At 52.9% G+C, this 15,745-nt stretch overlaps 1 protein-coding gene across 1 annotated transcript, besides 9 other annotated features; it reads right to left on the reverse strand.

Annotated features, from left to right (window-relative positions):
* Window positions 1–2,097: 2,097 nt before the first annotated feature.
* FGF19 (fibroblast growth factor 19) lies at window positions 2,098–7,882 on the reverse strand. Its single transcript, NM_005117.3, has 3 exons — window positions 7,505–7,882; window positions 7,121–7,224; window positions 2,098–3,436 (listed from the first exon to the last, which is right to left on the reverse strand). The coding sequence occupies exons 1-3, from the start codon at window positions 7,734–7,736 to the stop codon at window positions 3,122–3,124; spliced, it is 651 nt and encodes a 216-aa protein (NP_005108.1). The 5' UTR covers window positions 7,737–7,882; the 3' UTR covers window positions 2,098–3,121.
* Window positions 3,141–3,435: a silencer, noted in NCBI's record as "tiled region #8818; HepG2 Repressive non-DNase unmatched - State 4:PromP". NCBI's record gives its function as "represses a minimal TATA promoter and a strong SV40 promoter by Sharpr-MPRA in HepG2 cells {active_cell/tissue: HepG2}" and the evidence as "EXISTENCE:reporter gene assay evidence [ECO:0000049][PMID:27701403]".
* Window positions 4,201–5,153: an enhancer, noted in NCBI's record as "OCT4-NANOG-H3K27ac-H3K4me1 hESC enhancer chr11:69515109-69516061 (GRCh37/hg19 assembly coordinates)". NCBI's record gives its function as "activates a minimal SCP1, AML or CMV promoter by ChIP-STARR-seq in naive H9 embryonic stem cells {active_cell/tissue: H9 hESC(naive)}" and the evidence as "EXISTENCE:reporter gene assay evidence [ECO:0000049][PMID:30033119]".
* Window positions 7,955–10,152: a promoter, noted in NCBI's record as "-1954 to +244 promoter fragment". NCBI's record gives the evidence for it as "EXISTENCE:reporter gene assay evidence [ECO:0000049][PMID:17696253]".
* Window positions 7,967–7,987: a protein binding site, noted in NCBI's record as "AARE". NCBI's record gives the evidence for it as "EXISTENCE:protein binding evidence [ECO:0000024][PMID:23205607]".
* Window positions 8,064–8,103: a protein binding site, noted in NCBI's record as "FXR site P4". NCBI's record gives its function as "positive regulation of transcription" and the evidence as "EXISTENCE:protein binding evidence [ECO:0000024][PMID:22561792]".
* Window positions 9,291–9,653: an enhancer, noted in NCBI's record as "RC13". NCBI's record gives its function as "enhancer in hindbrain, spinal cord" and the evidence as "EXISTENCE:transgenic organism evidence [ECO:0001131][PMID:16930954]".
* Window positions 9,579–9,634: a protein binding site, noted in NCBI's record as "FXR site P2". NCBI's record gives its function as "positive regulation of transcription" and the evidence as "EXISTENCE:protein binding evidence [ECO:0000024][PMID:22561792]".
* Window positions 10,019–10,069: a protein binding site, noted in NCBI's record as "FXR site P1". NCBI's record gives its function as "positive regulation of transcription" and the evidence as "EXISTENCE:protein binding evidence [ECO:0000024][PMID:22561792]".
* Window positions 10,193–10,822: an enhancer, noted in NCBI's record as "H3K4me1 hESC enhancer chr11:69521101-69521730 (GRCh37/hg19 assembly coordinates)". NCBI's record gives its function as "activates a minimal SCP1, AML or CMV promoter by ChIP-STARR-seq in primed H9 embryonic stem cells {active_cell/tissue: H9 hESC(primed)}" and the evidence as "EXISTENCE:reporter gene assay evidence [ECO:0000049][PMID:30033119]".

Here is a 15,745-nt window from a genome sequence, read left to right on the forward strand (position 1 = left end):
CAAAGTGCTGGGATTATAGGTGTGAGCCACCGCACCCGGCCCACAGGGGAGCTTTTAAAAAATCCCAGTGTCCAGACCACACCCATTCCCATTAAATCACAATCTCAGCTGGGCACGGTGGCTCATACCTATAATCTCAGCACTTTGGGAGGTTAAGGCAGGAGGACCTCTGGAGCCCAAGAGATCGAGACCAGCCTGTGCAACATAGCAAGACCCCATTGCTACAAATTAAAAAAAAAAAAATGAGCTGGGCATGGGTCTGTGGTCCCAGCTACTTGAGAGGCTGAGGCAGCAGGATCCCTTGAGCCCAGGAGGTCAAGACTGCAGTGATCAGTGATTGTGCACTGTACTCCAGCCTGGATGACAGAGTGAGACTGTCTAAAAAAAAAGAAAAAGAAAGAAAGAAAGAAAGAAAGAAAGAAAGAAAGAAAGAAAGAAAGAAAGAAAGAAAGAAAGAAAGACAAAAAACTCAGAATCTCCATGAGTGGTTTCCAGCTATCATCTTTTTTTCAATGTGCAGCCAAATTTGAGATCCAGTGGACATAATAGCTCAGGACACATGGTTCTATCCTTGGTGAGGTTTGCTGTGGATAGGCAGCCGGCTCTGTGCCAGGAATCCCGCAGACATCATTTCACTGGATTTCTGTATAGCCCTACCATGCAGACCCTGTTAACCTCATGTCCGCAGAAGGATGCAGGCTCAGAGGGGTGATGTGACTTACTCAAGGTCACACAGCAATCAAAGGGCCCTGCCCACAGCCCCTGAGCTGCCTCCAGGCTGTGTGGCTCCAGGAGAGTGCCTTTCCTGTCTGGCGCCTGCCACGGGTAGAGAAGGCTGTGTCCACAAGCATCATCCAGCCCTGCCTGTCAGCTCTCTAATCAGCATGGTTACATGACAAGGACACCAAAGAGTGAGAGGGGCATCTTGATTGGCAGATGGAGACAGGGAACGCCCCAAGGGTTAACTCTAGATGTCCTGGGCATGTCATCAGTGAGAATGACAAGTGGAGGTCCCTTTTACTGGAGAGCAGGGAGGCTTCACCTGAAATAGCCTTCGTAGACTTGAACAACGACATTACCCCCCTCGCTGCCAACGTAAGCACCTGGGAACTACTGCCCTGAGTGACCCAACCCTCCTCCCCGACTCCCTCCACCATCCCTAATCCCTGGCAAATGCTCATTTGGAATCATGTTTCATGCACACGTTGGTGTCCGGTTGCACCTGCTCCTCCTTGCACTCAGGATGTGGCCCACATCTGGTCACCCTGACCGCTAATTCTTGCCTTCCCAGCCTGCCGTGCAGCTGGGGCTGGCCTGGTCCTGTGACGCAAACCTGGTTCTTAGGATGTAGCCGGAATTTGCTGAAAGGTTCTAAGGAAGTTTTGGCTTTCTTGATGAGAGAGGCCCAGCCCGAAATGATTCCCTCTCCCTGAGTACAGGGCGCTCAGCTGAAGCCACAGCAGCCCTGGCGAGACGAGGCCCCAGCAGGACAGGGACACCAAGGGAATCACACAGGGCACAGCCCAGGCATCGCTGGGTCACTGGGTCCCTCTGGATTTGTGGCTGGACAAAAAGAAATCCTATTTGCTCCGGTCAGTGGTCCTCCGTTAAGGGTGATCTTGCCTCCTAAGAACATGCAACAACTTCTGGAGGTATTTTGGTTGTCACAACTTGAGGGTTTCTACAGGCATCTAATGGTGGGGGGTGGGGGGGGCACTGTTAAATGCAGGAACGTCTTTCCCCAGGGAAGAGTGCTGAGGGCGAGAGGCCCTCACTTAGGCCGCTGTTCCTTGGTGTTTGTTTCCTGCAGCCAAAAACACTCCTGGCAGAGAGGCCGCCCTAACCACTGAGACTGCTAGAGAGAAGGTGGACTGAGGAAGCCAAGCCCCTAGGCATGAGGAAAGGGCAGGACAGCAGGGCCCAAACCAGCCTCCACCACTAGAGCTGGCTGGCCCAAACCCGCTAACTTCCCACCCGAGCTTTTGGTGTCCAGGGCAGACACACCGAGGGTTTCCTCCCGTGGACGGTGCTGCCCCCCACCAGCCCCTTCCCCACCCTCCCTAACATTCTAGGCGGATAATAGAATGCACCTTTTGATACAAACAAACTCCATTTTAATATACAAAACAAACCTCACTTACATACATAAATATAATTTGGGGGCATAAATAATGTAAGAAAATAAGAGATGTACATATCAAAATAAATTACTCATAAATATCATGTTGGAAAACCAAGTGCTGGGGAAAGGGTTCTAGGTCTTCCCCCGCTGCTTCCACACAGCAAGTTATTGACAAGACTTGGGGTCTTCAAATCTTTTCTTTTCCTGATTTTTGAACAAGAAGTGCAGGTTGACATAAGGTGGGGGGCCTGGGAGGCCCCAATCCATGGGGAGGCATGTGAGGTGGGCAGAGGGCTGGTGGGCTGGGAGATGGAAGCAGGTGACACCGGGACAGCAAGTTATTCTCAGGACAGCATCCATGACAGAACTGGCCTCAGGGGGAATTCTCAAGTTGTCCCAGGGCTGGAGTGGGGCTCCAGGCTTCCCCTACTCCTGAAGCCTGGTGGGCCATGCCTGCTCCAGTCAGTTCTGGCCTGGAGGGATTTGGGAAGGGCAAATGGTCCCTGGAAGTAGAGATATAGATCAATTCCCACATGGGGTTGAGTGAAATTTACCTGCTGTTTTACAGAGTGGATCACCTGTTCCTGAAATTAAAACTACTGCCTGTCTTCTGGCTGCTCCTGGGGAAGTGATGAGAAAAAATTAGAGAATTTCAGCTTGACATAAGAATTTTTCCAAAGGAAGTGAGTTCCCCATCGATGGAGGTATTCAAGCAGAACTGAGACAGTGCAGCAGCTTGTCCAGCAACCTCGAGGGAGCAGAATGGGGGCCCAGGCAGCAGCTGGGCAAGCTACAGGCTTACAATGTTATGATCAGACAAGTCTATTGGCTAGAAACTGGCACTGCCAATGGAAAACTCTGAATATGTACAACTTCTAGATGTTTCTTCCTAAAGCTAAACAGAACGTGGACTCAGGACTGTTCTTGTAGAAGCACGTCCCCCACGCTGCAGGTACCACAGCCCCTGGCAGCAGTGAAGAGGCCCGGGCATGGTCTCAGTTACTTCTCAAAGCTGGGACTCCTCACGGCCTCCAGTCCGGTGACAAGCCCAAATGGGTCCATGCTGTCGGTCTCCAGGGGCGAAGAGAACATGTCAGATTCCAAGTGGCCCCTGAGGTCCTCAGGCTCCTCTGGGACCATGGGCAGCATGGGCAGGAAATGAGAGAGTGGAAGAAAGCCTCTGTTCTTGTACAGCTGCCGCTGTTTGGCACTGCTCAGGGAGACCGGGAGGCGGTGCTTCTCGGATCGGTACACATTGTAGCCATCTGGGCGGATCTCCTCCTCGAAAGCACAGTCTTCCTCCGAGTACTGAAGCTGCAGAGAAAACAGGCAGCTCTGAGCAATCCACAGTGGACAGGGAACACGGGTCCACATGGACGTTTGTGCTACAGACTGTCCCTGGTGGCCACCAGCAGTGACCTTCCACATAAGCATCACTTGCATGTTTTATACATACTTCCTGATGTACACACTGTACGTGTAAGTATATATAAAATATACCTTTATATATGTAAGTATATATAATATATAATGTACTTTAAGGCCAGGCACAGTAGGTCACACCTGTAGTCCCAGCACTTTGGGAGGCCCAGAGCAGATGGATCACCTGAATCCAGGAGTTTGAGACCAGCCTGGGCAACATGGTAAAATTCCATCTTGACAAAAAGTACAAACATTAGCAGGTCATGGAGGTGGGCGCCTGTAGGCCCAGCTATTCGGGAGGCTGAGAGGTGGGAGGATGGGTTGAGGCTGGGTAGTCAAGGCTGCACTGAGCAATGATCATGCCACTGCACTCTAGTCTGGGTGATAGAGCAAGACCCTGTCTCAAAAAAAAACAAAACAAAAAACCCACAACTATATATATACACAGAGAACACACACACATATATAAATGTACTGTAAGTGTAAGCATATATAATATGTACATTATGTTAATATATAACCCATTAATAAATTAAATATACATTTATATACCTTTATAAATTATAATCTTTATATAGATATACATGCACACAGACAAAACTGAGGTTTATTATTTCATATATGTATATTTTATGTATATACTTAATACTACATATACACTCTATATAGACCCAAATAATTTCCACTAAATTACCTCACTTTTTCGAGAGCCTTGTCCTAAGCAATAATATCCATCAACCCACAGGAATGCCGTCTGTGTTTCCCTCACCCTTTACATTACAGACATAACTCCTGGCATTTAAAAAGTTCCTGGGTATTTCATTGGCACTTTGGGAAACACTGATAAACTGGGTTGTCATCTTAGGATAGGTCTTTTAAATAAATTGCGTGTGATCCGATCTGGGTCCCAGATGAAAGCATCTGTTCCCCACCTATCTCAGAAATCACTGTGTGCCTTTATCATTCTAAGGCCTTCTGGTCTGCAGCAGTTCTGAGAACCATCAGCCCCGCTGTCTCCTCCATTCAGTCACCAAGGGCCTTCCAGGCAGGCTGCCAGGAGGCAGATCTCAGCAGCCCCTCCCCCAGGCCAGGCCAGGCCAGGCCGGCGCCCAGCTGGTGGCCGGAAATGTGTGCTGAGGGAAGCCTTGTCTTAGAACATTCATAGTCCACGGGGTTGAGAGGTGCCAGTGGGCAAGTGCCATCCCACACCGGTGTCATTACCCCTTGGCGACCCAGGACAGGCGCAGGCGGGAGCCGGAAGGGCTGGGCAGTAAACACACTGCAGGACGGCCTCAGTCAGGTTCCTGCCTAAGTCTGCAAAGGTCACTGAACTGCAGGTGGGTGACGAGGTACCTGTGCTAATAAGCTCCTGATAAGAGGCTCATTGCAGCAACCCAGGCTCCTGCCGAGCCCACGGATGGCTGGGACAAAGCATCGGACAGCAAGCGTGATTTCTCCCAAACTCCCAAAAATGCCAAATGATCAATAAACAAGGAACACAAAACCGAATGATTGGAGGACCTTCTTCTATTTACTTGGCTTGTCCTTTGGGAGAAATTAGTATCACTTTCTCCATACAGAAAACGAAATGACTTCAAGTTTCTAGAAGAATGTGGCATTTTTATTTAAGAAAGAGGCCAGGCGAGGTGGCTCATGCCTGTAATCCCAGCACTTTGGGCGGCTGAGGCAGGCAGATCGTGATGTCAGGAGTTCGAGACCAGCCTGGCCAGGATGGTGAAACCTCATCTCTACTAAAAATACAAAAAAACTAGCCGGTCATGGTGGCACGGTGCCCGTAATCCCAGCTACTTGGGAGGCTGAGGCAGGAGAATTGCTTGAACCCCGCAGGTGGAGGTTGCAGTGAGCCAAGATCATACCACTGTACTCCAGCCTGGGCGACAGAGCAAGCGAGACTCCGTCTCAAAAAAAAAAAAAAAAAAAAAAAGATCCTCAATTTCTGTTAGACCATGCACAGGGGATCAAGAGGCACAAAGGGGGCTGGGCGCGGTGGCTCACACCTCTAATCCCAAAGCACTTTGGGAGGCCGAGACGGCCGGATCACTTGAGGTCGGGAGTTCAAGACCAGCCTGGCCACCAACATGGTGAAACCCCATCTCTACCCAAAATACAAAAGGTAGCTGGGCTTGGTGGTGGGTACCTGTAATCCCAGCTCCATGGGAGGCTGAGGTAGCAGAAACGCTTGAACCTGGGAGGCACAGGTTGCAGTGAGCCGAGATCTGGCCACTGCATTCCAGCCTGGGCGACAGAGCAAGACTCTGCCAAAAAAAAAAAAAAAAAAAAAAAAAAAAGGCACAGAGGGATTTCAGGTGACCCAACCCCCAATTTGGGCAGAATGGCGGGTTAGGTTGACGTCCCCTGCTGGCCTCCCATCATTAGGAACCCCCACACCCCCTGCCATAGTAAATGTCAAAATTAAAGTTGCAAGGGTGGGTTTGGAGCGGCTCTGGGTGGGAGTCAGCGTCCAGCGTGCCGACCACCCCCTTTCTCTGCAGTCCTCTCACGCAGGACTCCGCCATAAAACCTGAAACAGGCGCTCCGAGTACACGGAGCACGGCAGAGGCACCGAGCAATTTTGAGACTCTAAAATGCTTTGTCCCGCTGTTCACAAAGGAGCTGGTTGGGCCGGAGGCGGCCCCGCCTCTGCATCCTTTCTGGGGTGGGGGCCCCGGGCAGGCGCGGCCACCCCCGCCCTGGCCCCTGCTCCGCCAGGGAGTCCGGGGCTGCGTGTGAGGCCTGCGCGGGCCGAGACCTCACACAGCCTCCTCTGCGCGCGGGGCCGCGGGAGGGGCGCGGGTTCGTTCCTTTGAACTCCCAGCCTTTGTTCCCGGCCACCAGAGCCCCAGCGCTCGTACACTTCCGGCCCCGGGACCTCTGCGGTTACCTGGGCCTTCCCTGCCAGCCCCCACCCCCTGCCCCCACCAGAAAGCGTTTACAGGACAGGTGAGGCCCGCAGGAGGAAAAGCACTCCCCTGGCGCAACATGACTCCAGCGCATCTGCGTCTAAGCCACACCGTGCTCCTGGTAGATTAAAAATTAATTCTAAAAAAAAAATCTCTCCTATCCCAAATGCACTGTTTTCTGCCTTGCTTGACAATTGATTTGTTTTTAAAGGAAAGTTATGGGTAGATCCTCTTTTTTCTTTCCCATTCTTTTTTTCTTCTTTTATACTGGAGGGAGGGAAACGGAGGCGAGGACCACACACGCGCAGGCAGAGGCTGAAAAGGCCCGAGGTGGGTTTTCCTGTTTAATATCAAAGGAGGCCGAATAATGGGTTTCCTCGGTCCGGCTAGGCCGGCCTTTGACTCAATTGGAAATGCAAAGGCAGCTTTTGCCTATTCTCTGGCTGCTGGCTGAGACCCTAAATTTCCGTAGGAAATCGTCGGACATGCACTTAATCGGTCTTTGCAATCTTTCCCTCGAAGTTGCACGCGGGTCTGGGCGGAGGAGGCGAGGAAACCCTGGATTCGAACCAGCGCCTTTCTCTCCTTCAGGCCTCCGCCCGGGGACAGGCGCCGGTCCCCCGCCCCGGCGCATCCGCCCCGTGGGGACACTTACCAGCCCCTGCATCTTGCCGTCGGCGCCCATGCAGAGGTACCGCACGCTGTGCACGCCCTTGATGGCCACGGTCCGCAGAGCGACTGCCTTGATCTCCAGCAAACCTAGGCGCAGGGGAAGCGAGAAGCTGCAGCAAGGACCGCTGGGCCCGCACCACGTGGGTGCGGTCGGTCCACAAGCCTGTGCTTCTCCCTAGCGTCCCGCGCTGTTTGGGGACTAACGGAGGGATCCTAACGTCCAGGTGCCAAAACCTGGGGTTCCCAGGAGTTGAGGGGTCCGCAGGAGCCTAAGGGTGGCAAAGGAAGGAAGGGCGCTGGGGTGGGGCGCGCGCAGCGGGGTGGGGTGCGCGCGGCGGGGCGGGCGGGGGTGCTGGCGGGCACTCACTGTGCGCGCTCTGGCCCCGCGCGCAGTCCACGACGCCGTCGGCACGGATGCGCAGGAAGCAGCTGGAGAGCCCGTGGGGGCCGGAGGTGTACAGGTGCCGCAGGCGGATGGGGTCGCCCCAGCCGTAGTGCACGTGGGGCCCCGCGTCCGAGAAGGCGAGGGGGCGCCCGGCCACGGCCAGCCAGAGGCCGGCCAGGATCCATACGTGGACCACCACACACCCGCTCCGCATGGCACCTCCCTGGGGCTCTCGGCGCAGCTCCGGCGATGGGGGTGCGGGAGGCTGGGCGGCGACCGGGATGCGCTGCGGGGCTGTGAGTGCCGGGTTGGGATGGTCGTGGCCCTAGATCCTGGACGCAGCGCTCCTGCTCTGACGGCGCGGCGGCTCCGGGCCGGCAGCCTTATATAGTAGCGCCTTACGGGCCCCACGGGTAGGTGCCCAAGACACCCGAGCATTTCTTATCGGGATTGCATCAAGCCTCCGCCCCCCGCACACACCCACTCACACCCCGCCTCCGGCCCCAGCCCCAGCCCCCTCCCCGGGCCCGGGCAGGCAGGCGGCGGCTTCTTGTCCCAGCCGGGGTGACCCCGCCCAGGCCGTTCGGATCTGCGGGAGGAGGAGGCCTCGCTTAGCGGCCGGGTTTCGGGGAACTCCTCCCCACCGCGCAGCGGCCCCGAGGTTCTTGGCTGGGAGAGTTTGACTTTGTAAAGCAATCGACAACTGGGGCCCTTCCCCCAGGCCTCAGGCTCCCAGTGGATGCACTCGGCGTGGGGCACTAGCGGGGGCGGGGTCAGGAACCCCGGGGCCAGAGGTTGGGGGGCACCGAGTTTTGCCCCCTTCACCCTCTGTCGGGAAAAGCCTCACCTCGGCCTTAGTGCCCTTCCCCTTAAAAGCCCACTCGCACTCCCTCCCCCGACTTTCGCAGCCCCGCACATCTGACGTCAAAGCCGTCCCGTAGAATTTTCCCCGGCAGTTCCGACAGTCTCAGGTTCTTTCAGCTTCATCTTCTTGCAATTCCTGCCCCGCCCCTTTTATCCGGGTAAATTGCCCCCCGACGGGGGGCCGGGCGCGCTCTCGGCCGGCGGGGAAACAATGGAAGCCGCGCGGACTGTAGGTGGCGCCGCAGCCTCGGCGTCCGCCTGGGCTTTGCGCTCCTGGCCCCGCGCCCCTGCCTGCTCCGCGCTCGCCCCGGCCCCGCGGCTGTGCGCGAGATGCAACCTGAAAGGGGGCACTGGGAAGGAGGCTCTCGGGCAGGGTGGGCGGGCCAGCTGCGGGATTGGTGAACCCCAGCTTCTCGGCTGGAGGGTGGTGGAGGCAGGGGCGCAGGGAGGGAGGCCTGGGCCTCCGTTTCCCGTTTTTTGAGCTGTCTTGTGTCGGGGGTCTGGTTTTTGAGTCCCCGAGTCCCTGCGCACGGGGTCAGGAGGAACAGCACGGTCGGGGAGGTCGAGAGCGCCTTACCTGGTGGGGAGGGGTCGGGAAGGGGCCCAGGAACGGTGATGGGCGCCCCTGGCGTCCGGGCAGGTGCCAGGTGAGGAAAGAAATGGGGGCCGCTCCATGAAGCGGTTCCTGCCAATAAAGAAAACGACATCCAGAGAATACCCAGGCGGGGAATAAAGGGGTCCTCCTACGGGGCTTTGGTTTAACTCTAATTATTTCTTGTTATTCTTCCAAACCCCCAGCTCCTGGATGTGGGGCCCCAGGAGGCTGGTTTTGGGGGCAGAGCCCTCCTGGCCCAGCGCAAAGGCGATGGGGAGGGCAAACAGGAGAGACAGCGAGAGAAATGCCAGGCCTAATGAATTTCAATGAGCAGAGGCCACATTCATTCCCCAGTCAGTGACTGGCGTTAATGACTGAGGGCGCAGCAAATGTCACCAGGAAAGTCTTTACAAAAAGACATCATCCCGAAGGCTTTCTAGACCAGGGACCCCCACGCTGTGTGTCTTGGTTCAGAAAGCCGTGGCTTCTGTTAAATCTAATTACTTCCCCCCTGTGGCTTTAAATCGACGGCGGCTCCTATTAAACTTAATTACCCTCCCCTGCAGCTTTCGTTTTAAAGATCCGTGGTAAATGCGTGATAAATGCTCTTGAGGGCGATGGCAGAGGCTGCACTGGGGGACACGACCCAAACCGGGTGGGGGCGATGGCAGCCTCTGGTTCCACCCCTACCCCTCTGCAGCCCCTTCCAGGGACATGGGGAAGAGAGTGGCTGATGCGATCAGGGAGGTGGGGAAATGAGGAAGGCGGCTGCTGTCCCCCAGCCCCTGTTCTGAGCGCTTCATGGAGGTTCTCAGCTCAAATCTCCACAAGAGCCCCCACAGTATTCTATTCCTCCCTCCCCCATGGAGCAGGAGGGAAATGGCCCCAGAAAAGTGGCCGAGTAACCCAAGGTCGCACACTCTGTTAGTGGTGAAGTTGGAATTTGAACCCAAACAGTGGGGCTCGTAAATCCAGGCTGTGCTGCGTCTTATCCCGGGACAGGGGCTCCGGGGTCAGACCCACTGTAGCATGGATCACACCCGGCCACTCCCTGGGTAGGTCGTGGACCGCTGACCCATTGCCCTCTCAGCTTGCTCTCAGGCTTGTCCTGAGGGTGACAAGGAAGAGGGGACAGAGAGGGCCTGGGATGTAGCACTCATGAAGGTGTTGATGGCAGGCCTTGAGGTCAGCTGTGTGCCGGCCATCTCACAGGCACAGCAATGCTCTGAGAGCTTAGGGGATGGATCCTGCTCATGTGAGGTAGCTGACGGTTACAGAGATGGACTGCCGGGCCTCGAGGGTTTGCCCCAGGTGGGCCAGGCACACGATCTTGGGTGTTTGCTGGGCTCCCTGGTGTGTGTGGTTAGAGGGAGCCAAGCCTGCAGAGGACAAGGCAGTGCTGGCCAGCAAGGGGCTCTCCTGGCGAGAGCAGAGGTGTGGCAAGGGCTGAGGTCCTCCTCCCACTCTGTTCTGTGCACACCGGGACCTCTGAAGCCACCTGTGTGCTGCATTGGGCTGACTTTGCTTTTCAGGTTGTGTTTGATTTGCCCCTGGGTGGCTAAGCCGGCTGAATCGCCCAGGTGGGGTTTCATTCATTGAATGGCATGGGCAATGGGTAGCAGGTAGGGTCCAAGGCACCTGGATGTCCCGCTCACCCATGCAGGGGTATGGGGGTCTCCAGCCCAGGTGTCCAGAAGGGCTTGGCTTGGCTTTGTTCTGGATTTGATGTTAGCTTTTTTTTTTTAATTCATTTTTTATTTTTTTATTTAATTGCCCTGTAGAACCGTAAATCCTTTTTCTGGAGTCTTCCTTCTTCCATCTGAGGGTGTAGAGGTTCCTTCTTCCTGATTATGGCAAATGAGTGATTTCCACCATTTCTAAACCCGTGTCCCAGTGTCTAAGAACATCTTATTCGGCTTCACCTCCAATTTTTACATTATGAAAATCATAGTTTTCCTTTCATTTTACAGTTAGAAATGTATGTTTTGCTGTCAAATGTGCATTCTTCTACATAAGCACTCCCTAGAGCCCCTCCCAAACCCCCTGCTCCCACCTTGTGATTGAAAATTATTTTGTAATTGGAGAAACTTCTGGGTGTGGTAAAAGTCTTTATCAGAAAATAAGAACTGCAGGGTAGCGTGGGACCGAGAGAGCTGTGAACACTGAGGTGATCGAGGCCACGCCCCACAGCTGGTTCCTGGCCAACTGGAGGCTGAGACCCAGGGACTCCTGAATCTCAGCCCAGTATTTTTGCTACAACCTGCTAGAACATGCATTATTTCCCCCAAGACTTTCTGATTCACCAACAGCCATTTCTTCCCCCATACGCATCGTTATTCTGAAATGAGGCCACCCAGCTAGCCCAGAAATTGGCAGAGACTGTGACAGAGTAGAAGGAAGACCTCTTTGAGATTCCATTTCCTCATTTGTAAAACAGCAAAAGGAACGCTAATTTACAGGGTTAATACGAGCATTAGAAAAGACATCCCCATCTATCAAGTGACCAATATTTGTAAGATAGAGACAGCCTGGCACATGTAAAGCACATAACAGAAGGGTAGCTATTGTTACTGTTGTAAATGCTGCTCTCTGGCGATCTTTGCTACATTTATTACTTATTTTAAAATTTAATGGCAACTCTAGAAAAAGATATATAGTGACAAAAAGCTGGATGGAGATCCACTAGAAAAGGGTAAATAGAAGGCTGGGCGTGGTGGCTCATGCCTGTAATCCCAGCACTTTGGGAGGCCAACGCAGGAGCATTGCTTGAACCCAGGAGGCAGAGGTTGCAGTGAGCCGAGATCGCACCACTGTACTCCAGCCTGGGCAACAGAGAGAGACTCTGTCTCAAAAAAAAAAAAAAAAAAAAAAAAAAAAAAAAAGCAGAGAAGGATAAATGGAAGATGAAAATGTTCTCTATCTTTATTGTGGTAGTGAATACACAGGCAATGACATTTATCAAAACTAATAGAGCTGTTCCCTTAAAATTAAGGTGCATTTTTTTCAGAGCAATTTCTATTAAATTCTAAAGTAAATTGTGTCTGAATTTTAAATAAGCATTAATAGATACTTTTTTTCCAGTTGTTTTATTGTGTTGAAACATAAACAACATAAAATTTACCATCCTAACCATTTCTAAATGTACAGTTCAGAGGAATTAATACATTCATAAAGCTGTGTGGATCACCGCCACCATCCATCTCCAGAACTCTTTTCATCTTGAAAAATGAGATTCAGCTGGGTGCGGTGGCTCACTCCTGTAATCCCAGCACTTTGGGAGGCCAAGGTGGGTGGATCACCTGAGGTCAGGAGTTCAAGACCAGCCTGGCCAACATGGTGAAACCCCATCTCTACTAAAAATACAAAAATTAGCTGGGTGTGGTGGCGCATGCTTGCAGTCCCAGCTGCTGTGGAGGCTGAGGTGGAAGGATCGCTTGAACCCAGGGAGCGGAGGTTGCAGTGAGCCAAGATCACACCGCTGCACTCCAACCTGGGCAACAGAGTGATACTGAAAAATAAATAATAATAAAAAAAGTATGTATGTATCTTAAAAAAAAATCATTTGAATTGTAACCTCCTTTCCACCAACTCAGTTGTAAACACTTTCCTTGGGATTAAATATCCTAGCACAGCCTTTGACACCAGCACATCTGAGTGATACAATCTGTTGTCCCCTATTGCTGGACGTTTAGGTTGTTTCCAACGTCCCCTGCCAGACCATGCAGGGGAGAACATTCTTGGAGACGCATCTCGCGCATGTCCGCTCTTGGAATTACTGAGCCCTGTCGTCTCTCCCCCAGGTAGGCCCTGGCCCTGTGTAAAGGGTGGAATTCAGGAAGCTGCCCTGCTTCTGTTCACACAAAGGGCAGCACAGCTTCCTCCAGACATCTGCGGTGAGCCTGAGCACACATGGATGTTCTCAGCTCAAATCTCCGCAAGAGCCCCCATGGTATTCTATTCCCCCTTCCCCATGGAGCAGGAGGGAAATGGGGGCCCCAGAAAAGTGGCCGAGTGACCCAAGGTCGCACACCCTGTTAGTGGTGAAGTTGGAATTTGAACCCAAACAGTGGGGCTTGTAAATCCAGGCTGTGCTGTGTCTTATCCCGGGACAGGGGCTCCTGGTGTGTAAGCACCACCACCAGCAGGCACCATGAGGCATAGCAAAGCTGGAGTCGGAGCCCTCCCTTTACTGCCGGTTCAGAAGGCCCAGGACGTGAGCTCCCCTAGCTGGGAGGGCCTGCTTGTGCTGTGAGCCTTACTTTTCTCACCTGTGAGGACAGGAGCTGACAGAAGTAGCCACAAAGGGTATTTCTGTACGTGAATGCTCTTTTCCCTCTGGTCTCCCTCATCAAAACAGATATGAGTTCCCATCGCGAATGTGTTGAGCTGTCAGAGTAGCAACGTCGTGAAAGAATGCGCCCAGGCTTTGAATGTCAGCTACTGAAAGAAAACAAAAAGTAGCTTAATGAGAAAACATTAACCGTGTTCATGCTGACTTCGTGAAAAACCATAAAGTGAAAATATCGAGGTTGGAAATTCTCAGAAGCCCTGGCCTCTGTCTGCTTCATAAACCTTTCGTGGAGAAGGATGAGTCCCAGACTCCACAAGTGGATGGCTCTTCAAACTTCATGCCCAAAGGGAGGGTCTTTTCTCTCCAAAAGCTCAGCCACCTTTCCACAATGTCTTTTTTCTTTCTTCTGTCCGAGATGGTTAGGAAATCCCAGGACAGGCCTGGCCAGCACCATTTGCTGAGTGCTTGAAATCCTCTGGCCATGGTGGTGGTGGTAGTGATGGCTGACACCAAGTGCCCAGAACTGTCCTGGGCAGTTTACATGCCTCACGGTATTTGGGTCTCATAGCTCCCATTCTAAAGAGGGGCAAAGTGAGGCTCAGAAACTGCTCCTTGCCCAGAGTCACAAATAAAGCCAATAAACAGCAGAGTTGGGATTTGAATGCAGTTCTAGCTGAATTTGAGTCACAAAGCTATTTAATCATTACTCTCTTTTTATTTTTTTAAAAAAGAAGCAAAACCAGGCCAGGTACAGTGGCTCACATCTGTAATCCCAACATTTTGGGAGGCCAAGGCAGGTGGATCACTTGAGCCCAGGAGTTCAAGACCAGCCCGGGGGACATGGCGAAACTCCATTTCTACAGAAAATACAAAAATTAGTCGGGCGTGGTGGCGTGAGTCTGTAGTCCCAGCTACTTGTGATGCTGAGGTGGAAGGATCACTTGAGCCTGGGAGGCAGAGGTTGCAGTGAGCTGTGATCCACCACTGAAAAAAAAAAAAAAAAAAAAAAGGAAAACCCAAACAGCTGCTCTTTCAAAAAGTTAAGAGCCCTGACCAAATTCGGAGCCTCAGCTAGGGGCTTGGCCCTACTCTTCGATTCCTTGGCCCCATGACCTGCCCATGTGCTTCCCAGAGTGGTCACTGGAGACCCTGGGCTGACTCTAGCAAGATAGCCAGAGAGCCCCCACTTCTGAGTGCAGCCCTCAGCTCCGCCTGCTCTGCTGTGTGGTACCTGGACGTCATGTCTTGGGGTGGAAATTGACCCTACATGTCTCCTCTTCAGACAAAGCTCTGTGGAAGTGAGGATACAAGTGCGCAGTTTGCGGGCATGACCCTGGTGTCCTGCACGGAGCCAGCCTGGCACTTGACGCTGCCAAGAAATATTGGATGAATCATTTAAAAGAACTGGAAGGGCCGGGCACGGCGGCTCACACCTGTAATCCCAGCACTCTGGGAGGCCGAGGCGGGTGGATCACTTGAGGTCAGGAGTTTGAGACCAGTCTGGCCAACATGGCGAAACCCCGTCTCTACTAAAAATACAAAAATTAGCCGGGCGTGGTGGTGGGCACCTGTAATCCCAGCTACTTGGGAGGCTGAGGCAGGAGAATCACTTGAACCCGGAAGGCAGAGGTTGCGGTGAGCCGAGATTGAGCCATTGCACTGCAGCCTGGGTGACAGAGCCAGACTCCGTCTCAAAAGAAAAAAAAAAAAAAAGAACTGGAAGGTGTTGACATTGCTGTGCACTCACTGGCCTCCTTGCCCATCCTTTCCTTGTTCATCCCGTCTCTCCTTCCTCCTGCCCTCCCTTGACTTCCATTGCCAAACTGATCATTCGTCCCACCTGCAAACTCATTCCAGACACTTCTGATGGGTCACACATCATGTCGAGAAAATTAGGCCAGGTACAGTGGCTCATACCTGTAATCCCAGCACTTTGGGAGGCCAAGGTGGACAGATCACCTGAGGTCAGGAGTTTGAGACCAGCCTGGCCAACATGGTGAAACCCCGTCTTTACTAAAAAAAAAAAAAAAATGGCCGGGTACGGTGGCTCATACCTGTAATCTCAGCACTTCGAGAGGTCGAGGTAGGCGGATCACGAGGTCAAGAGATTGAGACCATCCTGGCCAACATGGTGAAACCTCGTCTCTACAAAAAATACAAAAATTAGCTGGGCGTGGTGGCGCGTGCCTGTAGTCCCAGCTACTTGGGAGACTGAGGCAGGAGAATCGCTTAAGCCCGGGAGGCGGAGGTTGTAATGAGTCAAGATCACACCACTGCACTTCAGCCTGGCTGATAGAGCAAGACTCTGTCTCCAGAAAAAAAAAAAAAACTTAGCTGGGCATTGTGTCAGGCACCTGTGGTCCCAGCTACACGGGAGGCTGAGGCAGGAGAATCGCTTAAATCTGGGAGACAGAGGCTGCAGTGAGCCGAGATCATGACACTGCACTTCAGCCTGAGTGACAGAGTGAGACTC

The sequence above is a fragment of the Homo sapiens genome, chromosome 11 (genome assembly GCF_000001405.40).
Source record: "Homo sapiens chromosome 11, GRCh38.p14 Primary Assembly".
NCBI classification, from domain to species: Eukaryota; Metazoa; Chordata; class Mammalia; order Primates; family Hominidae; genus Homo; species Homo sapiens.